Consider the following 24,802-nt stretch of genomic DNA (forward strand, 5'->3'; position numbering starts at 1 on the left):
CCGGGAGGCCAGACTCTGGACCTGTGTAACAATTAACTGAGGGAGTCCCTCCTCCCTGCACCCTGCCCTGGGGACCATCAGCCTCAGGGCCACCCCTTTGTGATCCCTGCTGCAGGGGCTGAGCTGAGATGGCTGCGACCTCCCGTCCCGGCCCAGGCCCCGTGCCACTCTGGACACAGGGGGAACTCACAAATACAACTGGAATATCTTAAGAAGGGTGCGCCCACCCAGTGCCTCACACCTGTAATCCCACTACATTGAGAGGCCAACGCGGGCAGATCCTTGAGCCTAACCTGGGCAACTTAGTCAAGCCCTACCTCTACAAAAATAGAAAAATTAGCCAGGCGCGGCGGGCACCTGCAGGCCCAGCTACTAGGGTGTGCTGAAGTGGGAGGATCACTTGAGCCCAGGAGTTTGAGGCTGCAGCCAGTTATGGCCGCACCACCGCACTCCAGCCTGGGTGACAGAGGAAGACCCTGTCTCAAAGGAAATAAAAAAAATTAGAAATACAAAGAGTTACCAAGGCTGGGTACAGTGTCTCACGCCTGTAATCCCAGCACTCTGGGAGGCTAAGGCGGGAGAATCGCTTGAGGCCAGGAGTTCCAGACCAACCTCCTCCCGTCTCTAAAATAAAAAATGTAAAACTTAGCTGAGCATGGTGGCCTGCACCTGTAGTCTCAGCTACTCAAAGAGACTGAGGTGAGAGGATCGCTTGAGCCCAGGAGTTCGAGGCTGCAGCGAGCTACGACTGCACCACTGCATGCACCACCGCACTCCAGCCTGGGCAACAGAACAAGACCTTGTCTCTCAAAGCAAATTTGAGAGTCACCTTTTGTGCTCTCAGAGTACACATGAGGCTCCGTGCTCGGCAATTTCACAGATCGCATTTCCTTTTCTTAACACCCCGTGAAATGGTGCCGGTCTCATTGTGCCCAGGAAAGTCAAGGTCACGCAGCAGGTCTGACCTGGGATTTGAAGCCGGGTCTGCCTCGCCCCCAGCTTATCCTGCCTCGCCCAGGCTCTTGGCCCCTGAGGACCCACAAGCAGCCATGGGAGCACACAGGGACAGGGAAGGTGTGCAGAGGCCACATGCCCGTGGTCCACCTGCAAACCGGGACGCTCTCACGTGGGGATGCCCGGGAGCGTTGATGACTCAGGCTCCAGGCTCTCCTGTCCTCAACCTTGGTCCCTCGGCTGATTAGATAGTGGGCCCTGCCCGGGCGAAGGGGGACCCCGCCCCAGCTGACACGGGAGCAGCCATGGCCCAGACGAGTGGTAGGAAGGCCCGGCGTCATCGCACAGGTGTTTATGGAGCGCCTGCTGAGTCGCTGTCACTTCCTCTCTTCCGGAGGTCTGCGGATGACCGCTGAGCAGACCGGCCACTCAGCAGGATGGGGCTCACACATCCCAGCCCCAGGATGGCCACAGGTCTGCTTGAACCAGCCAGGCAGGCATCTATTAAACTCTGACTGTGTATCCCGTCTTGTGCAGGGCTTGGAAGAGAAGGAGGCCTTGGTGCTGTCTGGGAGCTCTCGATCTGATTAGGAAGTCAGGACCACCCCCCAGAGACAAGCAAACCCAGCAGCCGAGGCGGGGGCTGGAGAAGATTTGGAGGTAGGGGAGCCCAGCAGAGGGGGTGGGGGCAGGACCCGCCTTGGAGATCCTGCCCTCCAAAGTCAGTCAGTTGTCTGGGCTTTTTCTGAGAAAAGCACTCTGTGCTCTGAGACCTTGGCGAAGCCACTTCATCACTGCGTGCCTCGGTTTCCCCATCTGTTAAGTGGGGGCGATCAGTCCTACCTCGGAGGATTAAATGAGATACTGCATAGAAAAAGCCTGCTCTGCACAGCAGCAGGTACACGCTAAGCACTCGGTAAGGTTGGCCGATAATATTACAACGTTTTAAATCGCCCTAGTGTTTCTAATTCACAGTTTGCTGACGGCTTGGCTGAGGCTGAGCCGGGCAGGCTCTGCGTATGTGAAAGTCGCCAGCGTCCAACCCCCGGAACCTGCCGGCTGGGAAGGAGAAAGCCGTCCGCTGCGACCGGGCAGCTCAGGGTTTGCAGAAAGGGCTCCGGCGCGCGTAAGTTCTGTCTACACGACCGCCAAAGCGTCCGGAACCCGGATTCAGGATTCAAGTTGCCATCAGCTTCCAGAAGGAGCTTCGGGATGGGGGGTCCTTGAAGGCAATGGAGGGGCGGCGGGGCTCCGGGGGAGGCGGGGGTTCAGAGGGGGCTCCCTCCCCACCCCCGCCGGCGTCCTCCTCGCCCTGCCAGGCCAGGGCCAGCTGCAGGTCCAGCCCCTCCAAGTCCTCGCCGGTCAGGCTGGGGCGCAGCTCCCGGGGTGCGGCCTCCTGGTCTGGCTTCGGGCCAAACGCCCAGTCTGCGGCAAGGGAGCTGGTGAGGCAACTCCCCGGCCCCGGCCACCCTCCTCTGTCCCCTCCTCAGCTAGGAGAAGCACTAGGATCCCCTGACCACCCACCCAGGGTGACCCAGCATCGGCCCCAGCTGGGTTTCGGTGGGGGCAGCTCACCGGCCAGGTCGTGGGCGAGGTCTTTGATGAGGTGCCCGACGATGGCGTAGGCGACGGCCACCACCACCAGCGCGGCCAGCAGCAGGTACAGCACGTACCTGGGCAGGCGGATGCTGTCCAGGGGCGGCGGCCGGTACTCCTCGTACAGCGGCGGGGACGGGCTCCAGCCCTCGGCCTCCCCCTCGGCCGCCAGCCCCGGCATGGTGTCCGCCCGGCACAGGGGAGGCCCGGAGGTGACCCACACAGCGGAAGTATTAAGGGGCTTTGAGCTAAGAGGATTGGGCGGCTGCCCCACGGCCACCATCTGCCTGGGTTAATCACATTGTAAATCACTTCCGCCCACCCGCAACCTACCTGCTCAGCTCCAGCCACGACTCTGCCCAGCCGTCCCCACCTCGGGGCCTCCGCACCTGCGCTTCCTTCTCCCAGGAACGCCCTGCCCAGATTTCCTCATGGCCGGCTCACTCTCTTCATTCATTCATCTTTTTAATTCTTATTATTTTATTTTATTTATTTAATTTTTCTTGAGACGGAGTTTCACTCTTGTCACCCAGGCTGGAGTGCAAAGGCGAGATCTCAGCTCACTGCAACCTCTGCCTCCCGGGTGCAAGTGATTCTCCCACCTCAGCCTCCGGAGTAGCTGGGATTACAGGTGCCCGCCACTATGCCTGGCTAATATTATTATTATTTTTGAGACAGGGTCTCGCTCTGTCGCCCTGAGTGCTGGAGTGCAGTGACGCGATCATAGCTCACTGCACCCTCAACCTCCTGGGCTCAAGCGATCCCCCCGCCTCAGTCTCCCAAGTAGCAGGAACTACAGGTCCTCGCCACCGTGCCTGGCTCTTCATTCATTCATCGAATATGTATTGAGCAGCGACTATGGCTGGGCACTCTCTTAGGTGCTGGGACACAGCTATGAGTAAGAAAGACCAGGCCGGGCGCAGGAGCTCACGCCTGTAATCCCAGCACTTTGGAAGGCCGAGGTGGGCGGATCACTTGAGACAGGAGTTTGAGACCAGCCCGGCCAACATGGTGAAACCCTGTCTCTACTAAAAATGCAAAACCTAGCTGGGCGTGGTGGCGGGCGCCTGTAGTCCCAGCTACTCGGGAGGCTGAGTCAGGAGAATCGCTTGAACCTGGGAGGTGGAGGTTGCAGTGAGCCGAGATCATCCCACTGCACTCCAGCCTGGGCAACATAGCGAAACTCCGTAACAAAAAAAAAAAAAAAAAAGAAAGACCAAAACCTGACATTCCAGGGAGGGAGATGGATGCTAAGAAAGAAACATAACCTTAGAGTAAATGATATATTAGGTTAGAAAGGGAGGTGTGGCTGGGCGCCGTGGCTCACGCCTATAGTCCCAGCACTTTGGGAGGCTGAGGCAAGAGGATCACTTGATCCAGAAGTTCAAGATCTCTCTGGGCAACATAGCAAGACTGCATCTCTACAAAAACTTTAAAAACTAGCCAGGCGTGGTGAGTGCCTGTAGTCCCAGCTACTCAGGAGGCTGAGGTGGGAGGATTGCTTGAGCCCAGGAGTTCAAGGCTGCAGTGAGCTATGATTGCACCCCTGTACTACAACCTGGGTGACAGAGTGAGACTATCTCAAGAAAAAAAAAAAATTGGGCTGCCAAGGCATCACTGAGGAGGTGACATTTGAGCAAAGACCTGGAGGAAAAAGGGAACCAGCCATGGGAGATCCAGGGGAAAGAGAGTTCCAAGCAGAGGGCACAGCCCCTGCAAAGGCCCTGGGGCAGGACTGTGCCTGGCGTGTTGGAGGAACAGTGAGGAGGCCAGTGTGGCTGGAGCAGAGTGAGCCGGGGGAGTGGGGGGGAGGGGAGGATGGGGAGCTGTCAGGGCAGGTCCTGCAGGGCCGTGTAGACTGTGAGGAAGACTTCGGCCTAGACCCTGAGGAATGTGGGAGCCATGGAGGGCTGTGGGCAGAGGAGGGATGGGTCCGGACCCAGGTGCTCACAGGTGCCCCCTGGTGGCTGCTTTGGGGAGAACGGACTATGGGGGCCAGAGGAGGAGCCAGGAGGGGACTGAGCTGGTCCTAGTGGAAGGAAAGTAGGCAGATTTGAGATGGACATTTTTTTTTTTTTTTTTTTTTTTTGAGACAGGGCCTTGCTCTGTCACCCAAGCTGGAGTGCAGTGGTGCAGTGGTGGGATCTTGGCTCACTGCAGCCTTGACTGCCCAGGCTCAAGCGATCCTCCTGCCTCAGCCTCCTGAGTAGCTGGGACTACAGGTCTGTGCCCCCACACCTACCTAATTTTCTGTATTTTTTTTTATAGGAACAGGGTCTCACTATGTTGCCCAGGCTGCTCTTTAACTCCTGGGCTCAAGCGATCCTCCTGCCTCAGCCTCACAAAGTGCTGGGATTACAGGCATGTGCCACCGCACCCAGCCTTGGGATCGATTTTTCATTAAAAAAATCTGTTTTTAGACTAAATGCCTGCAATGATGGTGTTGCCATTTCCTGAGTTAGGAACATTGCAGAGGAGAAACCTGGGGAGAAACACAAGGAATTCCAAGTAGCCAGGGGCCAGGGAAGCCAGGACAAGGCAGTAGGAGGTGGTGGTGAGGAAGACCTGGGTTCAAATCCCAGCTCTGCCCGTCACAGCATGACCTTGGCTCTCCAGGGTTCCCTGGCTTCTCTCTACAATGGGGTGGGTAAAGTTTCCTGGGGTGTTGGGAGGAGGAAATTCAACAATGTGTAGAAGTGTGAGCCTTCCCGGGCGGGCGTGGTGGCTCACGCCTGTAATCCCAGCACTTTGGGAGGCTGAGGAACGCTGATCATGAGGTCAGGAGTTCAAGACCAGCCTGACCAACATGGTGAAACCCCATCTCTACTAAAAATACAAAAATTAGCCAGGCGTGGTGACATGTGCCTATAATCCCAGCTACTCGGGAGGCTAAGGCAGGAGAATCGCTTGAACCCGGGAGGCGGAGGTTGCAGTGAGCCGAGATCCCGCCACTACACTCCAGCCTGGGCAACAGAGCGAAACTCCATCTCAAAAACAAACAAACAAAAAAAAGTGTGACCCTTGCCAGGTGGTGGCTCATGTCTGTAGTCCCAGGGACTTGAGAGGCTGAGGCAGGAAGATTGCTTAAGCCCAGGAGCTGGAGGCTGGAGTGAGCTAAGATTGTGCCACTGTACTCCAGCCTAGGTGACACAGCTAGATCTTGTCTCTACAAAAAAGGGGGTGGCTTTTTATTTTATTTTATTTATGATTTTATTTTATTTTGAGACAGAGTCTCTCTCTGTCGCCCAGACTGGAGTGCAGTGGCGCGATCTCAGCTCACTGCAAGCTCTGCCTTCCGGGTTCACGCCATTCTCCTGCTTCAGCTTCCCAAGTAGCTGGGACTACAGGCGCCCGCCACCACGCCCGGCTAATTTTTTTTTTTGTACTTTTAGTAGAGACGGGGTTTCACTGTGTTAGCCAGGATGGTCTCGATCTCCTGACCTCTTGATCCACCCACCGCAGCCTCCCAAAGTGCTGGGATTATAGGCGTGAGCCACTGCGCCCGGTGAGGGTGGCTTTTTATATTTTTGTTTGTTTTTGAGACAGAGTCTCGCTGTGTCACCCAGACTGGAGTGCAGTGGTATGATCTCCTCACTGCAACCTCTGCCTCCCGGGTTCAAGTGGTTCTCCTGCTTCAGCCTCCCAAATAGCTGGGACTACTTTCCAGGGTTTTGTTTTGTTGGTGGTGGTGGTGTTCTTTTAAGACTCCCTCTCCCTCTGTTGCCCAGGCTGGAGTGCAGTGGGGCCATCTCGGCTCATTGCAACCTCCACTTCCCAGGTTTAAGCAATTCTCATACCTCAGCCTTCCAGGTAGCTGGGACTACAAGCATGTGCCACCATGCCCAGTTAATGTCTGTATTTTTAGCAGAGACAGGATTTCACCATGTTGGACAGGCTGGTCTCCAACTCCTGACCTCAAGTGACCTACCTGCCTCAGCCTCACAAAATGCCGGGATTACAGGTGTGAGCCACTGTGCCCAGCTTTTTCTTGTTGTTTTAAAAACATTGCAGCTGGTCTGTGTTGATGGGTAAAGAGAGGAAACCAAGGAGGCAGGAGAGAAAAGGGGGAAGGGCTGAAGTAATGGCTGTGAGTTGATGAGAAGGACGAGGAGTTGGTGAGGAAAAGAGGTGGCTCAGGCAGCCAATGTCACATTGGAAGGTGCCACCTTGGAAGTGGCTCCTTCGGCCCCAGTTGAGCCTTCAGATGAGGCAGCCCTGGCCGACAGCTTGATTGCAACTTCATGAAACACCCAAAGCCAGAAACATCCAGATACGCTTGCTGCTCCCAGACTCGTGACCCACAGGAAAGGTATCTGTCTTCTTTCCTCTGTCTCTGGGGGTTTTCTTGTCTTCTTTATTTAAGATGGAGTCTTGCTCTTGTCACCCAGGCTGGAGCGCAATGGCACACGATTTCGGCTCACTGCAACCTCTGCCTCTTGGGTTCAAGTGATTCTCCTGCCTCAGCCTCCTGAGTAGCTGGGATTACAGGCATGCACCACCACACCCAGCTAATTTTTGTATTTTCAGTAGAGATGGGGTTTCACCATGTTGTCCAGGCTGGTCTCGAACTCCTGACCTCAGGTGATCCACCTGCCTTGACTTCCCAAAGTGCTGGGATTACAGGTGTGAGCCACCGCATCCGGCCTTGTCTTTTTTTTTTTTTTTTTAATTAAAGAGATGGGGGTCTCACTATGGTGCCCAGGCTGGTCTTGAACTCCTGGGCATAAGCGATCCTGCCTTGGCCTCTAGAGTAGCTGGGACTATAGGCATGTGCCTCTGTGCTCAGGTCCACTTTTCTGTCTCTGTAAGGACACTGGTCATTGGATGTAGGGTCTACCCTAAATCCAGGATGATCTCATGCTGAGATCCTTAACAACACCTGCAAAGACTCTATTTCCAAATCAGGTCACATTCATGGGTACCAGGGGTTACCACCTGGACAAGCCTTTTCGGGGGACACGATTTGACCCAAGTCCAGCTGTTTGAAGCTGCTAAGTTTGGAGTAATCTGTTGCACAGCCACAAGGATCTTAGGTAAGTCTTGGCTAGCAGAACCAACAGTTCATCAGCCAGCGTTAGCAGGCAGGAGGGGAGGCAGCATGCACGGCACAGGGACAGGCAGGCGGGCACAGCTGTTGGTGGGGTGTGCGGAAGGTCTGCTTGATTTTTTCACTGAAGCCGAAAGCAAGGTCATCAGCTGAGTGAGGATGAGGGAGGTTGGAGGCCAACAAGAAAGTGACAGAACAGATCGCAAGAGAGAGAGCCCCACGGAACCATAGTAGAATGGATGTTGGCTGCTCAGGAGGCTGAGGTGGGAGGATCACTTGAGCCTGGGAGACAGAAGTTGCAGCGAGCTTAGATCGAGCCACTGCTCTCCAGCCTGGGCAATAGAGCAACACTCTGTCTCTAAAACATAAACAAGATGGCCAGGCACGTGGCTCATATCTATAATCCCAGCACTTTGGGAGGCTGAGGAGGGCAGATCATTTGAGGCCAGGAGTTCAAGACCAGCCAGGCCAACATGGTGAAACCCTGTCTCTACTAAAAATACAAAAATCAGCCAGGCATAGAGGCATGTGCCTGTAGTCCCAGCTACTCAGCAGGCTGAGGCACAAGAATTGCTTAAACCTGGGAGGCAGAGGTTGCAATGAGCTGAGATTGCACCACCGCACTCCAGCCTGGGCAACAGAGTGAGACCCTGTCTCAACACAGAACAAAACATACTGAGACCCCGTCTCTACAAAAAAATACAAATATTACTCAGGCACAGTGGGGCAAACCTGAGGTCCCAACTGCTTGGGAGGCCAAGATAGGAGGATCGCTTGAGCCCAGGAGGTTGAGGCTGCAGTAAGCTGCAGTGATCAGCCACTGCACTACAGCCTGGGAGACAGAGGGAGACCCTCTCCATTTAAAAAAAAAAAAAGTGAGCCAAGCGCAGTGGCTCACGTCTGTAATCTCAGCACTTTGGGAGGCCAAGGCGGGCTGATCACAAGGTCAAGAGTTCAAGACCAGCCTGGCCAACATGGTGAAACCCCATCTCTACTAAGAATACAAAAATTAGCTGGGCGTGCATGGTGGCACGTGCCTGTAATCCCAGCTACTTGGGAGGCTGAGGCAAGAGAATCACTTGAACCCGGGAGGCAGAGGTTGCAGTGAGCTGAGATCACGCCAATGCACTCCAGCCTGGGTGACAGAGCAAGACTCCATCTCGGGGGGAGGCAAAAAAAAGGCTGGGTGTGGTGGCTCATGCCTGTAATCTCAGCACTTTGGGAAGCCGAGGCGGGTGGATCACCTGAGGTCAGGAATTTGAGACCAGCCTGACCAACATGGTGAAAGCCTGTCTCTACTAAAAAATACAAACAGGCCAGGTACGGTGGCTCACACCTGTAAGCCCAGCACTTTGGGAGGCCGAGGCAGGAGATCGAGACCATCCACCATCCTGGCTAACACAGTGAAACCCCGTTTCTACTAAAAATACAAAAAATTAGCCGGGCGTGGCAGCGTGCGCCTGTAGTCCCAGCTACTCGGGAGGCTGAGGCAGGAGAATGGCGTGAACCCGGGAGGCGGAGCTTGCAGTGAGTGGAGATCGTGCCACTGCACTCCAGCCTGGGCAACAGAGCGAGACTCCATCTCGAAAAAAAAAAAAAAACAAAAAAAAAATTTAGCTGGGCATGATGGTGCATGCCTGTAATCCCAGTTACTTGTTAAGCTGAGGCAGGAGAAGTGCTTGAGCCTGGCAGGCAGAGGTTGCAGTGAGCCGAGATCACGCCATTGCACTCCAGCCTGGGTAATAAGAGTGAAATTCCATCTCAACAAAAATAATAAAATAAATTAAAATTAAAAACCTATAATCAAACATGTGACTTCCAGGCAGGTTTCTCAACCTCTGCACTCATTTGGGGCCGGATCATTCTCTGTTGTGGGGACCGAGTGCTGGAGGTTATCTTCCAGCATCCCTGGCCTCCCCCGACTACCTGACTAGATGCCAGCTGCACACCCCCACCCCCCACCCCATGACAAGCTAAACTGATGCCCCGGGGCAGGATCCAGCACTCCGGTGGAGAACATGGCTCAGTGGATAGTCGGTTCCCGTTGCGTTTTGCCTCCTGTCTTCTGGTTTTGGCCTCTCTGGCTGCAGACCAGGAGCTCTGCACCTGAGATTCTACCGCTATGCCTATTTTACAGAGAGGTAAGTGGGCTGTCCCCAGCCACACATGGAAGGGCTGCGGGAGCCGGCGGAGGAAGCCATGTCTGGGCTCTCAGCTGGACCACAGAACCCCTTCCACTGCACCCACAACAGGAGCTGGGGGAAGACGGGGGTCCGGGAAGGGCCAGGCTGGAGGGCTGTTTCCCCAGAGCCCACTTGGAGGGAGCTGGCTGGGCAGATCTGACCAGGTAACCGCACATAAAACAGGTGCAGGCCTGCCTGTCGCTGGTGGTGGCTCAGTGTCAGCAGCAGGACAGATCCTAGAGCCAATGGCTGCGGATACAACCGTCTCCCCGCCCAGACGCCACACACTCTCGGGGAACGTTCCCTGAAAGCCCCCACCCCTCCCTCCCTCCCACGCTCCCCTCACCCAACACACTCAGAGGAGTCAGTGCTTGGCAAAAATAATTTAATATTCCATCTGGGCAGCGCTCTGAGGTCTGCTTGTCCCTCCCTGGCCCCTGTGCCCTACCTGACCCACTCAGGGACCACCACCCTGTCCCTACCCAGGCCTCGGGGTGGGGGAGTCAGAGGCCCCCAGACCCTGTGTCCCATTCCTAGTGAAGCTGAAGCCACCATAACGTCAGCCTCTTCCCAGAGCCCCAGCTCTGCCCCTGGCTTCCCTCGCGATCCTCCCCTGGCTCCCCTCGCGATCCTCCCTTGGCTTCCCTCGCGATCCTCCCCTGGCTTCCCTCGCGATCCTCCCCTGGCTTCCCTCGCGATCCTCCCCTGGCTTCCCTCGCGATCCTCCCCTGGCTTCCCTCGCAATCCTCCCCTGTCCTGAGCCGGGCATCCCAGAGCCTCCCGCAGAGTCCCACCCCAAGCCTGGAAACTTCCACGCTACAGCCCTGCGCCAGGCCCCGAGGAGCAGTCAGGGGACTCAGGGAGTCACAGCACAACGGCAGCTCCTCGGTCCCAGACGGAGGAGGGGGACAGCAACCATGCGCCCAGCAAGACACAAGCGATGACACCGATTTACACACACCCGGTTTAGACGCCAAAGCTCTGCGGGGGAGGAGCGGCCCTCAAGAGTCCTCCGGGAGCTCCGGGTGAGGGTGGGGCCCTAGGAGGGGGCCCCGCGCAGCTGCTCCAGGCCGTCCGCGTACTGGAAGGCCCGCCCGGTCTCGTGCTCATACATGTCCAGAGCCACCTCGCAGCTCTCACGCACCACGCGCTCTGGGTCGTCCGCGTGAGCCTGCAGCGCGGCCAGGCAGGCGGGCCGGGCAATGGCGCCCAGGGCCTCCGCGCACTCGTGCCGCACCATGGGGTTCTCGGTGCATCGGGCCAGGGCGGCCGCCAGCTGGGGCACCGCCGCCTCGTGCTGCAGCTGTCCCAGGACGTAGCCGACCTCGTGGCGGAAGAGGGCGCTCCCACAGTGCAGACCTGCAGGGGAGAGGGACACTCGCTGGGGCCAGGAGGGGTGGGAAGGGGAGCTCTGTCTTTTCGAAGACATGGGGTCTTGCTATCTTGCCCAGGCAGGTCACAAAGTCCTGGCGATCTTCCCATCCCGGCCTCCCAAAGTGCTGGGACGACAGGCGTGAGCCACCACGCCCAACCTGGGGTGTTCTACCTTGAAGACACCCCTGCCCCCAGCCCCAGTGATTAGGGATGCCCGGGGGAACTGACCGCAGCTATGGGGGCGGGAAAAGCTGGGAGCTATGGGGACCAAGAGGGACGCTTGCACGGGTTCTTAAGAGGCCCCATGGGAAATGCTTGGGGCCAGGCCCGGGATGCCGTTCCCGGGGGCAGGCCGCGGCCCCACTGCACAGATGCCATCACTGAACCTCACAGCGAGGCACTGCCCAGGACCCCACCCCAGAAGCCCCTCCTCACCCTCGGCCAGCGCCAGGGCGGCCTCCTCGCCTCCCGCGTTGCGCAGGGCGAACATGGCGCGGTATCGCTCGAAGAGCGGCCGGGACTCATCCAGCAGCGCCTCCCGCAGGCGCCCCACGTCACGCTCCTCAGCCGGCGGGGCAGGGTCCACGGAGAGGTAGGGTCCCGCCGCCGGCTCCCCGCCGTGCTGCTGCAGCCACTCCAGCCTGCGCACGGCCAGCTGGCAGGTCTCGGCCACCTGCGGGGAGGGGGTATCAGGCAGCGGGTTGGCCCTGGGGGGTCGCAGGGGCCCTTCCCCACCCCCCGGGATGGCAGCTTAGCAGGGGAGAGAGACACTGGCAGGGTGACTAACCCATCATTCCAGGCAGGAAGTAAGCCAGCAGGGGTGGCTGACTTGTGAGTGACCGGGGGACTGGAGGGCTGGGGAGGGCCTCAGGGAGGAGGTGATGTGGAGGCAGAGACCTAAGCCAGCTTAGGGAGGGAATCAGGTGGAGACCCGGGGATGGGGAAGCAGCGGTGGAAAGGCCCTGAGGCAGGACCCTGCGGGAGGGGTGAGGGCCAAAGGAACATGTGCGGCCCCACCTGACCAGGTAAGGCCTGCGGGCCACTGTAAGGGCTTGGGATTTTGTCCTAAAGGTGATGAGATATCGTGAGAGCTTTAAGCATGGAACAGAACAGCAGAATTGAGTGTCACACGTACCCCCGGCTGCCCCGGAGGAGGAGAGACTGAGGGTCGGGGTGGGATGTGGACAAGAAGTGGCAGGGGAGAAAGGAACATGCATGTCCGTGGCGGCATAACTCATAACAGCTAAAAAGCAGAGACAATTCAAGCATCCAGCCACAGTGAGTGGACACAGCATGGGCCGTCCACACCACGGAACGTGACTCAGCCACAAAAAGGAATGACGGGCCGGCCGAAGCGGCTCATGCCCCTAATCCCAGCAGTTAGGGAGACCAAGGCAGGAGGATCGCTTGAGCCCAGGAGTTCAACACCAGCCTGGGCGACAGAGCGGGACTTCATCTCTATAAAGAAAAAACTAATAAAATAAAAATTTGTTTCATTTTTGGGCCAGGCGCGGTGGCTCACGCCTGTAATCCCAGCACTTTGGAGGCCAAGGCGGGTGGATCACGAGGTCAGGAGATCGAGACCATCCTGGCTAACATGGTGAAACCCCGTCTCTACTAAAAATACGAAAAGATTTGCTGAGCGTGGTGGCAGGCGCCTGTAGTCCCAGCTACTCTGGAGGCTGAGGCAGGAGAATAGCATGAACCTGGGAAGCAGAGCTTGCAGTGAGCCGAGATCGCGCCCACTGCACTCCAGCCTGGGCGACAGAGCGAGACACCGTCTCAAAAAAAAAAAAGAAGAAATGTTGGAAGGTAGCAGGAGATCTCTGAAGAGGTCTGGTGGGCCAGGACAAGGTATCAGAGGTAGAGGGCACTGGGTGGGTTCAGAGGGGTCTTGGCAGAGGGACTGGACGTGGGGGTTCAGAGAAAGGGGGTCAGGCCGGCTCAGGGGCTCAAGGCCCGGGATGGAAGCGGGTGAGCAAAGCTGGTTGTCGCCGTTTTGCCAAATGGGGCGCAGCAAGTGTCTGTCCAGATTGTCGCCCTCGCCTTCCTCATCCCTGGGGCATCCTTGGCCAAGTGGTCGCCCTGGCAACCAGAGATGGGGAGGGTCTGAGGCTGCTCCAGGTCAGGGCTGGGGCAGGGCTGGGCAGGGCTTCCCAGGGACCCGAGACTGGCAGGGAGACAAGCAGGGGCCTGGTTACCTCGATGACGGGGTCCGAGGAATACTGCTTCAGGATCTCCAGAACTTCCGGGTCCCCGATGGCCCCCAGGGCCTCCCCTGGGAAGAAGCAGCCGGAGAGCTCATGTTGGTGGGGTGGATGTGTGGAAAATGCCCGGCTACCTCTGGGACCGGAGGACACCCCTCCCAGGGCTCTGCCACTGTGGGGAAGCCCCGCCTCTGTCCACGGCTGATTGGAGCAGCAGTCGGTACAGGCTCCCCGCTGGACCAATCAGCATCCCCTCCCCAGAGCAAGGCACTGCCTGGAACCGCACCTGGCTGCCGCTCAGAGCAAAATGGACCCCATCCCGGCCCGTACCATGAGACAGGGAGACAAGTATATCCCTACAACTCGGGATCACAGCTGACAAGCAGCTCCAAGAACCCAGGAGGTCGGGGGTGCAGTGAGCTATGATCACACCACTGTACTCCAGCATGGGCGACAGAGTGAGACCCTGTCTCAAAAAAACAAACAAAAAAAATTCCCAAAACAGGCCGGGCCTGCCGGCTGGAGACTCCAGAATTTGGGGCCACTGGGGCTACACTTAGGTGGGTTCGGGTACAGGCGCAAGTGCAGGCGTCGCAAGCCCAGGTCGGAGCAAGGCTGGCGGCGGCTCCCCGTAGAGCCCTGGGTGCAGATGTTCCTTGAATTTTCTCAGAATCGAGCTCAAGGGCCCTGCCTGTGAGGCAGCTGAGCTGGTGGCTTTTGCCTTTCCTGAAGGTTGCGGTTTGCGTTTGTGCACCTGCCTGGCAGGCTCCCTCTGCCGGGAAAAGTCCCGTATGCGCCAACACAGGCTCTGTGTCAGGCACCTCCCACGCGCTAATTGCAAATGAGCTCACTGGTTACAGAAACACAGTCCCAGTGGCACAGACGCACCAACTACCTGCCTCACTGGTCTCCTTCGCTGTCTAGGTCCCTCGCTACAACAGTCCATTTTTTTTTTTTTTTTAGAGCTTCGCTCTTGTGACCCAGGCTAGAGTACAATGGCGCGATCTCCACTCACTGAAAACTCCGCCTCCTGGGTTCAAGTGATTCTCCTGCCTCAGCCTCCCAAAGTAGCTGGGATTACAGGCGCCGGCCACCACGCCCAGCTACTTTTTTTTGTATTTTTAGTTGAGACGGGGTTTCACCATGTTGGCCAGGCTAGTCTTGAACTCCTGACCTCAGGTGATCCACCCGCCTCAGCCTCCCAAAGTGCTGGGATTACAGGCGTGAGCCAATGCACCCGACCTGAACAGTCCATTTTTTTGAGACAGGGTCTCACTCTGTTGCCCAAGCTGGAGTGCAGTGGCATGATCATGGCTAACTGCAGCCTCAACCTCCCTGGCTCAAGTAATCCTCCTGCCTCAGCCTCCTGAGTAGTTGGGACCACACGCGTGAGCCACGATGCCCGGCTTGTATCTGTATTGTCACTGTTTTGTCTCTTACTACATGACAGAGCCTGGCATACAGTAGGTGCTCACTAAATGTGTGTCCAATGAGTGGAGTAAATCTAATATACATTAGGGATTGGGGATCTATGGCTTGTCGCTTGTTTTTATACGAGCAAAGAATGGTTTTTAAAACACTTTTAAGGGTTTAAGGCGGGGTGCGATGGCTCATGCCTGTAATCCCAGCACTTTGGGAGGCCGAGGCAGGTGGATCACTTGAGGCCAGGAGTTCAAGGCCAGCCTGGCCAACATGGCAAAACCCATCTCTACTAAAAATACAAAAATTACCCAGGCGTGGTGGCACACACCTGTAACGCTATCTACTTGGGAGGCTAAGGCAGGAGAATCACTTGAACCCGGGAGGCAGAGGTTGCAGTGAGCCAAGACGGCACCACAGTACCCCAGCCTGGGCGACAGAGTGAGACTCTGACTCAAAACAAACAAATAAATGGTTTAAAACAAAAAATCAAAGGGATAGTACTTCCTGATGGGTGGAATTTATATGAAATTCAAATCTCAGCATTTACAAATGAAGTTTGTTTTTTGTTTTTTCACAGACAGGATCTCACTCTGTTGCCCAGGCTGGAGTGCGGTGGCACGATCATGGCTCACTGCAACCTTGACTTCCCGGGCTCCAGCGATTCTCCCGCCTCAGCCTCCCAAGTGGCTGCGACTACAGGTGCATGCCACCATGCCTGGCTAATTTTTGTATTTTTTCTAGAGACAGGGTTTTGCCATGTTGCCCAGGATGGTCTTGAACTCCTGAGTTCAAACGATCCACCTTCCTGGGCCTCCCAAAGTGCTAAGATTACAGGCCTGAGCCACCGCCCCCTGCCCAGTTGAGGTTGTCTGGGCACACAGCCTTAGCCATTTGGTGACAGATGACCTGCGCTGGCTTTATTGAGTCGCTGTCTGGCTGCAGAGCTGCAGGTATTTACTATCTGGTGCTCTATGGGGCAGTTGACCACTCTGATATTTATCACCTGAGTGAGGAAGGGGACACGTGGGGTCATGAAGAAGTGAGGCAGGAGGGAGCAGGTGCCCGGGACACAGACAGGTGCTCACCTGCCTCATGGCGCACCATGGGCTCCTGACGGGTGTCTTGCAGCACGTCCACCAGCATGGGGATGGCGCGGGCATCCTGCATCTGGCCCAGGCAGTAGGCCAGCTCGTGCTTGAGCAGGGCGGAATCGTCATCGAAGGCCTGGCTGATCCATGCAATGGCGCCTGGGCCGCCGAGCCCACGCAGCGTGAACAGCGCCCGGAAGCGGGCCTGCAGGGGCTGCTTGGGGTCCACCAGCGTCTGCCCGATGGCATCCACCTCCTGCTCCGTCACCATCGTGCTGTCAATGGGTCCCGGCCTTCCACAACCCTGCTCAGGCTAAACCTGGGGACGCGGGGATGTAAGAACCTGTGGCAGAAAAATGAGAGCCCAGGTTAGAAGCCCCCTTCACCAGTGCGTTGTCTGTTCCTAGGACCTGGGTGGGGCAAATTCCTACCCACTGACCAACCTGAGCATCTACGCTGAAAGCTCAGCTCCAACCTCCCTACTAGCTGTGCAGCCTTCCGTAAGTTGCTTTCCCTCTCTGGGCCTCAGTCTCTGCACTGCCTCTCGCCTATAGGCCTATCAGAAATGACCTCCACTGTCTGCTCTCCACACAGCAGCCAGAGGGACAGCTGACCCCCAAAATGGCCCTAGCGATCCCCACCCAATATTCAAGGCTTTATATAGCGATCCCCACCCAATATTCAAGGCTTTATATAGTCCTCTCCCACTCTGAACAGGGCTGACCCATGTGAATGCCAAGAAGATGGAACAGAGCAAGACTTCCAAGGTTAGGGCATAAAAAGCACAACAGTCTCATCCTTGTTCTCTCTCTAGGGGAAGCCAGTGACCATGTTGTGAGGATGCTCAAGCAGTCTTTTGTAGGGGCCCACGTGGCAAAAAACTGAGCCCTCCCACCAACAGCCATGTGAGAGAAGTGGGCTGGCAGCAGCTCGTCCAGCCCCAAGCGAACCTTCAGATGATGCAGCCCCAGAGCGTCTCCACTGAGGCCTTACCAGAGGCCAGACCCAGAGCCAGCCAGCTAAGCCAGGCCCAGAGCAACTGTGTGCGACACTGTTTACTGTTGTTGAAGGTAACCAAGTATGTTTTTTTGTTTGTTTTTGAGACAGGATCTTGTTCTGTCGCCAGGCTGGAGTACGGCAGCATGATCACGGCTCACTGTAGCCTCGAACTCCCAGTCTCAAGTGATCCTCCTGCCTCAGACTTCCTAGTGGCTGTGTCTACAGGCACACACCAGCATGCCCAGCTAATTTTTTTTTTATTATTTGTAGAGATGGGGTCTCACTTCTATGTTGCCCAGGCTGGTCTCCAACTCCCAAGCTCAAGTGATCATCCTGCCTCAGCCTCCCAAAGCATTAGGATTACAGGCATCAGCCACTACCCCCAGCCATTATGGGGATTTTTGTTACACAGCTTAGATAACAGATTCAGAAGTACTTTCAATATGTAAACTGGACCATATCACTCCCTTGCTTAAAATCCTCCTATGCCTCCTCACTCAACTACTTGACAGTCCCAAAGGCCCTTCATGACCATCTCCCATCACCTCTTCCCTCTCTAGCTCCACTCCAGCCACACAGGCCTCCTCGCTGTTCCTCCAACACGCCAGGCCCAGTGCAGCCCTAGGGCCTTTGCATTTGCTGTGATCTCCATGAGGAACATTCTTCCCTAGATGTCCCCACGTAGCAGGCCAGGCCTCACTAACACAGGCCTCCATAACTGTTTCAGCACTGACTGAGTGGTTAAGTTAAACATTAAAAGCTAAAAGAGCCAGTGCCCTCATACAAAGGCTGGAATGTAACAAAAGCCCATGAAGAGTTTTGCCCAGGCCTTTCCTGGGCCTTAAGGCATGACAAGATAATGAAGGAATTTTTTTTTTTTTGAGACAGAGTTTCGCTCTTTTGCCCAGGCTGGAGTGTAGTGGCATTATCTCGGCTCACCACAACCTATGCTTCCAGGGTTCAAGTGATTCTCCTGCCTCAGCCTCCCGAGTATCTGGGATTATAGGCATGCACCACCATGCCCGGCTAATTTTGTATTTTTAGTAGAGACAGGGTTTCTCCATGTTGGTCAGGCTGGTCTCGAACTCCCAACCTCAGGTGATCCACCCGCCTCAGCCTCCCAAACTGCTGGAATTACAGGCTTGAGCCACCACACCCAGCCAATAACGAAGGAATTCTTAATGTGACCCGTTTAGGATGAAACAAGTTTTACTGGGTGTCTGAAGAACTCCCCAAACCTCCATGATTTAGCAGGAGACAAGATAAGGATGATCACCCCAGCACCTGGACCCACTGGAGATGAGATAAGGGTGATCACCCCAGCACCTGGACCCATTTAGATTAAGTAAATTTACTGAGGTTCCAAAGGAAAGTCTTCAGGATTCAGATCTTAGTTATAGATTAAAAGAAGTTAGTCACTTTAAGTCTTTAGATGGATGCTCAGTTACATGTAGATGGAGAGCTTAGAGGGTATATAAGCTCTGGAAAACTTTGTCATTTTGAGTTGGTCTGGCGATATTTTCCAGGCCTTCTCCCTGTAACCGGTTACAGAAATAAAAACTCTCTTCCTCCCCAGTTAATCTGCATCTCGTTATTGGACCATGAGAAATAGCAGCCCGACCCTCAGTTTGGTCCAGGAACACCCGTGCTCATCCTCTTGCTTTCCTGGGTCTCCAACATCACTTCCTCATGGAAGCCTTCCCTGATCACAATGGACAATGTTACTCTTCCATCTCTTTTCACTTATTCAGCTTTATTTTTCTCCACGGCGCCTAAGACTCCTAGATATCATATTGGAAAGTATTGGTTTAGTTGCTTGTGATTGGTCTTATCCCTCATTAGAATAGAACTCTGAAGGCTGGGACTGAGTCTATCTTGGTCACTGTTGTATTCCCAGCACTTAGTGCAATGACCTGCACGCAGTAGGGCCTCAATAAAAACAATAACCGGCTGGGCGCGGTGGCTCACGCCTGTAATCCCAGCGCTTTGGGAGGCCGAGGTGGACAGACCATCTGAGTTCAGGAGTTCGAGACCAGCTGACCAACATGGTGAAACCCCATCTCTACTAAAAATACAAAAATTAGCTGGGCGTGGTGGTGGGCGCCTGTAATCCCAGCTACTCGGGAGGCTGAGGTAGGAGAATCGCCTGAACTCGAGAGGCGGAGGTTGCAGTGAGCCGAGATCGTGCCATTGCATTCCAGACTGAGCTACAAAGCAAGACCCTGTCTCAAAATAAATAAATAAAATAAAAACGACAACCGTGACAATAGCAGCTGACACTTATGTAGCATTTGCTACGCGCCAGGCACTCCATGCTCTTTACATTCATTAATTCATTCGATCTACATCACTACCCTGTGAGGTAGTTACTAAGATTGTCCCCATTTTACAGGTGAGGAAACTGAGGCACAGTTTGGGACTGTGCTTGGGAACTTGCTTGGGAGCAGCGTGAAGAGTTAGGAATCCAGGAAGTCTGGCTCCAGAGTCGGGCTCTAAACCACCAACGCTTTGTTGAATGACTTAGGATAAAAGAACACAGCCAAGGGGAGAAGGGACCCCTCTCTTTCCAGATCGGCTGAGAACCTGGCGGATGCTTCATCTCAAGACAGGCTGGCTATGGCATGCTGGCAGCCCTCTCTGGTGAACAGTGGCGTCAGCAAGGCTGCCTGGGCTTGACGAGGGCAGTGTAGCCACCTAAGCACAGGTGACCATCAAAGGAGAGTGACACCTTTAAAGAGGGGTCATCAGAAACCAGAGGGCAGGCCTGTGCGAGCTGGCAGGGCACTGGGGACCATTGAGACCCAACCGTACGACATAGGAGCTTCAGGACGTGAGGTGGGCACTCTTTCATGTAAAAAATCCCAGAGGAAAGAGATCGCCGGGACTCGAGACCCCTTAACCCGCCCCATCCACAGTCAACGAATCCCTGAGACCGGATTCCCTAACGAGGCGCTCCCGGTGCCACCGCCCGCCAGACCCGGGCCCCACACCGTGATCGCCGCCTCCGGGACGCCTCACCGAGCTCTGGAGACTCAGGACCCGTCGGCCCGGCCAGTAACCGCAGGCGCCTCTGCCACCACCGCTTCACCTGCCGCGACGCCCGCAGTGCGGTCTGGGGGCCGCCATTTTCTCGCCCACGTGACCGTGCCGGACGGCACCAACGCAGCCGCGGGTGAGACCTAGTGAGAGGCTCCGTGCATGAGGGAGGCCCGGAAGGCTGAGTCGGTGCTGGTGCCACAGCTCATGCAAACGCAGGAACAGTATTCCTAGTGCGTTCTTCGGGGAAGGGGACGGGCAACGTATGCCCTTTCATGGGAAAAAATTCTCTCCAACCTCCCCACTGCGGTACAAGAAGTGAGACTGGTTTGTGCCGATTCAGCGCCCTGCCTGGGCTGGCTAGCAACGGAGCATGCGCAGTGTTTCTAGGCGTGGTCAGACTCCAGAGGTGTTGGCCAATGGGCTCAGGGAGCTCGAACCTTAAGTAGGTGAGGAATAAAAAAAGGAAGAAATGCAGTCGTTCATTCATTCATGTATGTAATAAATAGTACATGGCCTTGAGGACAAGAGAGCCTTCAGCCCTTACCCTCGTACGCCTCCCAGTGTTGTTATAGAGACAGAAAATAACACGATAAGTAAATGCAATACCTATTAGATGGTGAAAAAGGCTAACGAGAAAAAATTCGGTAGCCAAGGGCGGTGTATGTATAGGGTGTGCAGTTTCAGGAAGGGTGGCCAGAATCTGAGGTGGTGACATCTGAAGAAAGACCTGAAAGAGGCCGGGTACGGTGGCTCACACCGGTAATCCCAACACTTTGGGAGGCCGAGGTGGGTGTTATCACTTGAGGTCAGGAGTTCGAGACCAGCCTGGCCAACATGGTGAAACCCCCATCTCTACTAAAAATACAAAAAGGCTTCAGCTTCCCGAGTAGCTGGGATTACAGGCATGCAACACCACACCAGCTAACTTTTTGTATTTTTAGTAGAGACAGGGTTTCACTATGTTGGCCAGGCTGGTCTCAAACTCCTGACCTCAGGTGATCCACCTGCCTTGGCCTCCCAAAGTGCTGGGATTACAGGCGTGAGCTACTGTGCCCTGCTTGCAATCTCTTATTTTTAAAATGTGGGTGACTGCCAGGAGTGGTGGCTCATACCTGTAATCCTGGCACTTTGGGAGGCTGTGGGGTGAGAGGATGATCGATTGAGCCCAAGATTCCAAGACCAGCCTGGGCAATGTGGTAAGCCCCCGTCTCAACAGAAAAAAAATTTTTTTTAATTTGGCTGGGCGCAGTGGCTCAGCCTGTAATCCCAGCTACTTGGGTGGCTGAGGCAGGAGAATCGCTTGAGCCTGGGAGACACAGGTTACAGTGAGTTGAGATCCTGTCACTGCACTCCAGCCTGGGCAACAGAGCAAGACTCCATTTCCAAAAAAAAAAAAAAAAAATCAACTGTGCCTGGTGGCTCATGCCTGTAGGCCCAGCTACTCAGGTGGCTTGATAGCTTGAGTCCAGGAGTTCAAGGATCCAGTGAGCTGTAATCACACCACTGGATTCCAGCCTGGGTGACAGAGCAAGACCCCATCTCAAAAAAAAAAAAAAAATGAGCAATTAATAAAAAAACATGGCTGGGCATTGTAGCTCACGCCTGTAATTCCAGCACTTTGGGAGGCCAAGGCAGGTGGATCACTTGTGGTCAGGAGTTCAAGACCAGCATGGCCAACATGCTGAAACCCCATCTCTACTAAAAATACTAAAATTAGCTTGGCCTAGTGGCGGGTGCCTGTAATTCCAGCTACTCAGGAGTCTGAGGCAGGAGCATCACTTGAACCCAGGAGACGGAAGTTGCAGTGAGCCAAGATCGCGTCACTGCACTCCAGCTTGGGTGACAGAGTGAGACTCCATCTCAAAAAAATAATTAAATAAAAATTAATGAAAAAACATAAAATGCTGTGCATAGCAAAGAAATCCTTTTGGAAGGCCAACTTCTATTTTAAGACAACATTCACAAATACTTATTGAGCAACTACTGTGTGCTGGACAGTGTCCTGAGCACAGAGGATAGTGTCCTGGGCACAGAGGACACAGGACAAAACAGACACAGTGTCTGGCCTCATGGAGCTGACACCCCCACTTTTATTTTTTTGAGACAGAGTCTCGCTCTGTCACCCAGGCTGGAGTGCAATGGGGCGATCTCAGCTCACTGCAAGCTCCGCCTCCTGGGTTCACGCCATTCTCCTGCCTCAGCCTCCCAAGTAGCTGGGACGACAGGTGCCCACCACCAAGCCCAGCTAATTTTTTTGTATTTTTAGTAGAGACGGGGTTTCACCGTGTTAGCCAGGATGGTCTCGATCTCCTGACCTCGTGATCCGCCCGCCTCGGCCTCCCAAAGTGCTGGGATTACAGGCGTGAGCCACCGTGCACGGCCCACCCCCCCTTTTTTTTTTTAAATTATTGTATTGCCTTCCTATGTGTTGGAAAACTGACTGCAGATAACAGGCATCACTGCAGCCCTCAGCTGCCTTGCGAGGACGTCATCTCAACATGTTTGTGGCTCAGGCTGTTTACGGAGGACTTCCCGTGGACCAGGAGCTGTGCTGACTCAGGAAGGCTACGAGGGCAGGGTGCCAGGTGTGACTGGCCCCAAGGATGCTCCCCAGGAGGAGATAATCCCAGGGTGCAGGACGCAGATATCGAAGCCTCAGCCAAAAGCAAGGCCTGTGTAAGTCAGAGAACTTGGCATCTGGCCTCTGTAGACCTTCGAGAAACTGATAGCACAGAAGAACCAAGTCTGCGTCTTCTGTTCGGTGGGTCCTCTGGGATTGAGCAAGTCCCTGGGGGGCGGAAGTCTGGAATCCAGGTATCTGCAGATCTGTGGCCTCTCTGGAGGCTCCAGGGGAGGATCCTTCCTGCCTCTTCCAGCTTCTGGGGGTGGCCGCCAGTCCTTGGTGTTTCTCAGCTTGTGGCTTCGTCACTCCAATCTCTGCCACTGTCATCACCTGGCCTTGACCCCTGTGTGTCTGTCTCTGTGTTTCTGTGTTAGAATCTCCCTCTCCTCTCCTTTTATTTTATTCTTCTGAGACAGAGTCTTGCTGTGTTGCCCAGGCTGGAGTGCAGTGGCGCGATCTCAGCTCACCGCAACCTCTGCCTCCCGGGTTCCAACGATTCTCCTCCCTCAGCCTCCCGAGTAGCTGGGAATACAGGGGCCTGCTACCATGCCCGGCTAATTTTTGTATTTTTAGTAGAGATGAGGTTTCACCATGTTGGCCAGGCTGGTCTTGAAGGCCTGACCTCAAGTAATCTGCCCACCTCGGCCTACCAAAGTGCCGGGATTACAGCCGTTAGTCACTGCGCCCAGCTCCTCTTTCAGATCTTTATTAAAACATCATCTTTGCAATAAGAGCATCCCCGAGCACTGCATCTGAAACTGTAACCTCTTGCCTCCTCCTTTTCCCTGTTCTCTTTTCTCCTTAACTCAGCTCCAAAGGGGATTTTTTTTTTTTTTTCTGGAGTGCAGTGGTGCAATCTCGGTTCACTTCAACCACCGCCTCCCGGGTTCAAGGGATTCTCCTGCCTCAGCCTCCCGAGAAGCTGGGATTACAGGCGCGTGCTACCACGCTCAGCTAATTTTTGTATTTTTAGTAGAGATGAGGTTTCGCCATGTTGACCAGGATGGTCTCGATCTCTTGACTTCATAATCCGCCCTCCTTGGCCTCCCAAAGCACTGGGATTATAGGCGCAAGCCACTGCGCCGGGCAAGAACTTTTTAAATAACAGCTGTATTGAGATATAGTTTACATACTGTACAATTCATCTGTGTAAAGTGATAATTCAGTGGTGTTTAGTATATTCAGAGTCGGGCAGCCATCATCACATAAATTTTTTTTTTTTTTTTCCGAGACGGAGTCTTGCTTTGACACCCAAGGTGGAGTGTGGTGGCATGATCTGGGCTCACTGCAACCTACACTTCCCGGGTTCAAGTGATTCCCCTGCTTCAGCCTCCCGAGTAGCTGGGACTACAGGTGCGCGCCAGCACACCCGGCTCATTTTTGTATTTTTAGTAGAGATGGGGTTTCACCAGATTGGCCAGGCTGATCTTGAACTCCTGACCTCAAGTGATCTGCCCGCCTCAGCCTCCCAAAGTGCTGGGATTACAGGTGTGAGCCACAGCTCACGGCCATCACATCAATTTTAGAACATATCCATCAACCCCCCAAAATAAAGTCCATTCCAGTCACTCCTGATCCCCCTCTCCCAGCCCTTGGCAACCACTAATCCACTTCCTGTCTCTATGGATTTGCTTATCTGGACATTTCGTATCAATGGAATCACTCACTATGTGGTCTTTTGTATCTGGCTTCTTTCACTGGGCATGATGCTTTCGAGGTTCATCCAATCTGTAGCCTGTGTCCGAGCCTCATTGCCTCATATTGCAAAACACCGTGTCATTGTATGAATGGAGCATTTTCCCTTCATCTGTGGATGTACATTTGGGTTGTGTGCACTTTGTGGATGTTATGAATAAAGCTGCTATGCACATAGGTGTGTGAGTTTTTGCGTGGATGTTACATGTTTGTTTCTCTTGGGTAGATACCTAGGAGTGTTACTGCTGTGTCATGTGGCAATTCTATGTTTAACCTTTTTTTTTTTTTTTTTTTTTTTGAGACTGAGTCTTGCCCTGTTGCCTAGGCTGGAGTACAATGGTGCGATCTTGGCTCACTGCAACCTTTGCCTCCCGGGTTCAAGCAATTCTCCTGCCTCAGTCTCCCCAGTAGCTGGGATTACAGGCGCCTGCCACGATGCTTGGCTAATTTTTCGTATTTTTAGTAGAGACGGGGTTTCACTATGTTGGCCAGGCTGGTCTCGAACTCCTGACCTCAGGTGATCCACCCACCTCCACCTCCCAAAGTGCTGTGATTACAGGCGTGAGCCACCGCGC

General features: G+C 54.8%; 2 protein-coding genes and 2 long non-coding RNA genes across 14 annotated transcripts, besides 5 other annotated features; 2 read left to right on the forward strand and 2 right to left on the reverse strand.

The window, feature by feature from the left end:
* Positions 1 to 1,437: 1,437 nt before the first annotated feature.
* SMIM44 (small integral membrane protein 44) lies at positions 1,438 to 2,769 on the reverse strand. Its single transcript, NM_001395954.1, has 2 exons — positions 2,530 to 2,769; positions 1,438 to 2,379 (listed from the first exon to the last, which is right to left on the reverse strand). The coding sequence occupies exons 1-2, from the start codon at positions 2,729 to 2,731 to the stop codon at positions 2,132 to 2,134; spliced, it is 450 nt and encodes a 149-aa protein (NP_001382883.1). The 5' UTR covers positions 2,732 to 2,769; the 3' UTR covers positions 1,438 to 2,131.
* LOC105372246 (uncharacterized) lies at positions 2,306 to 10,689 on the forward strand. Of its 6 annotated transcripts, none has more exons than XR_936264.2 (5): positions 2,306 to 2,614; positions 7,456 to 7,583; positions 9,420 to 9,738; positions 9,850 to 9,944; positions 10,603 to 10,689. It is a non-coding gene; the product is annotated as an uncharacterized LOC105372246 (long non-coding RNA). The 6 variants fall into 6 exon arrangements; XR_007067095.1 differs by lacking the exon at positions 2,306 to 2,614 and adding an exon at positions 6,482 to 6,859; XR_007067096.1 differs by lacking the exons at positions 2,306 to 2,614; positions 7,456 to 7,583 and adding an exon at positions 6,482 to 6,859.
* Positions 2,547 to 3,085: an enhancer, noted in NCBI's record as "H3K27ac-H3K4me1 hESC enhancer chr19:3483217-3483755 (GRCh37/hg19 assembly coordinates)". NCBI's record gives its function as "activates a minimal SCP1, AML or CMV promoter by ChIP-STARR-seq in naive H9 embryonic stem cells {active_cell/tissue: H9 hESC(naive)}" and the evidence as "EXISTENCE:reporter gene assay evidence [ECO:0000049][PMID:30033119]".
* Positions 4,418 to 4,467: a silencer, noted in NCBI's record as "silent region_9845". NCBI's record gives its function as "represses an Ori minimal core promoter by ATAC-STARR-seq in GM12878 lymphoblastoid cells {active_cell/tissue: GM12878}" and the evidence as "EXISTENCE:reporter gene assay evidence [ECO:0000049][PMID:35858748]".
* Positions 4,478 to 4,527: a silencer, noted in NCBI's record as "silent region_9846". NCBI's record gives its function as "represses an Ori minimal core promoter by ATAC-STARR-seq in GM12878 lymphoblastoid cells {active_cell/tissue: GM12878}" and the evidence as "EXISTENCE:reporter gene assay evidence [ECO:0000049][PMID:35858748]".
* DOHH (deoxyhypusine hydroxylase) lies at positions 10,152 to 20,002 on the reverse strand. 3 transcript variants are annotated; one of them, NM_001145165.2, is made up of 5 exons: positions 19,889 to 20,002; positions 15,869 to 16,214; positions 13,356 to 13,432; positions 11,590 to 11,827; positions 10,152 to 11,139 (listed from the first exon to the last, which is right to left on the reverse strand). In NM_001145165.2, exons 2-5 carry the CDS (start codon positions 16,140 to 16,142, stop codon positions 10,820 to 10,822), a joined length of 909 nt encoding a protein of 302 aa, NP_001138637.1. In that variant the 5' UTR covers positions 16,143 to 16,214; positions 19,889 to 20,002; the 3' UTR covers positions 10,152 to 10,819. The 3 variants fall into 3 exon arrangements, with proteins under 3 accessions (NP_001138637.1, NP_112594.1, XP_011526643.1); NM_031304.5 differs by having other exon boundaries at positions 19,861 to 20,002; XM_011528341.3 differs by lacking the exons at positions 10,152 to 11,139; positions 11,590 to 11,827 and adding an exon at positions 11,843 to 13,239.
* Positions 13,470 to 13,670: a silencer, noted in NCBI's record as "peak3248 fragment used in MPRA reporter construct". NCBI's record gives its function as "represses an SCP1 promoter by STARR-seq MPRAs in K562 erythroleukemia cells {active_cell/tissue: K562}" and the evidence as "EXISTENCE:reporter gene assay evidence [ECO:0000049][PMID:32103011]".
* LOC105372245 (uncharacterized) lies at positions 15,443 to 20,379 on the forward strand. 4 transcript variants are annotated; one of them, XR_936262.3, is made up of 4 exons: positions 15,443 to 15,482; positions 16,279 to 16,371; positions 16,686 to 16,941; positions 19,263 to 20,379. It is a non-coding gene; the product is annotated as an uncharacterized LOC105372245 (long non-coding RNA). The 4 variants fall into 4 exon arrangements; XR_936263.3 differs by lacking the exon at positions 15,443 to 15,482 and adding an exon at positions 15,559 to 15,733; XR_936261.2 differs by lacking the exons at positions 15,443 to 15,482; positions 19,263 to 20,379 and adding an exon at positions 18,067 to 18,334 and having other exon boundaries at positions 16,178 to 16,371.
* Positions 20,004 to 20,113: an enhancer, noted in NCBI's record as "active region_13735". NCBI's record gives its function as "activates an Ori minimal core promoter by ATAC-STARR-seq in GM12878 lymphoblastoid cells {active_cell/tissue: GM12878}" and the evidence as "EXISTENCE:reporter gene assay evidence [ECO:0000049][PMID:35858748]".
* Positions 20,380 to 24,802: the final 4,423 nt, after the last annotated feature.

This window comes from Homo sapiens, chromosome 19 (genome assembly GCF_000001405.40).
Source record: "Homo sapiens chromosome 19, GRCh38.p14 Primary Assembly".
NCBI lineage: Eukaryota > Metazoa > Chordata > Mammalia > Primates > Hominidae > Homo > Homo sapiens.

What these genes read in the sequence shown, in the direction of transcription:
- SMIM44 (NM_001395954.1), bottom strand. Translation starts at nt 2,731, where the DNA reads ATGCCGGGGCTGGCGGCCGAGGGGGAGGCCGAGGGCTGGAGCCCGTCC. An exon ending in CCTCGCCCACGACCTGGCCG is followed by an intron (nt 2,380 to 2,529) that starts GTGAGCTGCCCC and finishes CCCTTGCCGCAG; the next exon opens with ACTGGGCGTTTGGCCCGAAG.
- DOHH (NM_001145165.2), bottom strand. Translation starts at nt 16,142, where the DNA reads ATGGTGACGGAGCAGGAGGTGGATGCCATCGGGCAGACGCTGGTGGAC. An exon ending in CCTCGGACCCCGTCATCGAG is followed by an intron (nt 11,828 to 13,355) that starts GTAACCAGGCCC and finishes CCCTCCCCGCAG; the next exon opens with GTGGCCGAGACCTGCCAGCT. An exon ending in CGCCCTGGCGCTGGCCGAGG is followed by an intron (nt 11,140 to 11,589) that starts GTGAGGAGGGGC and finishes TCTCCCCTGCAG; the next exon opens with GTCTGCACTGTGGGAGCGCC.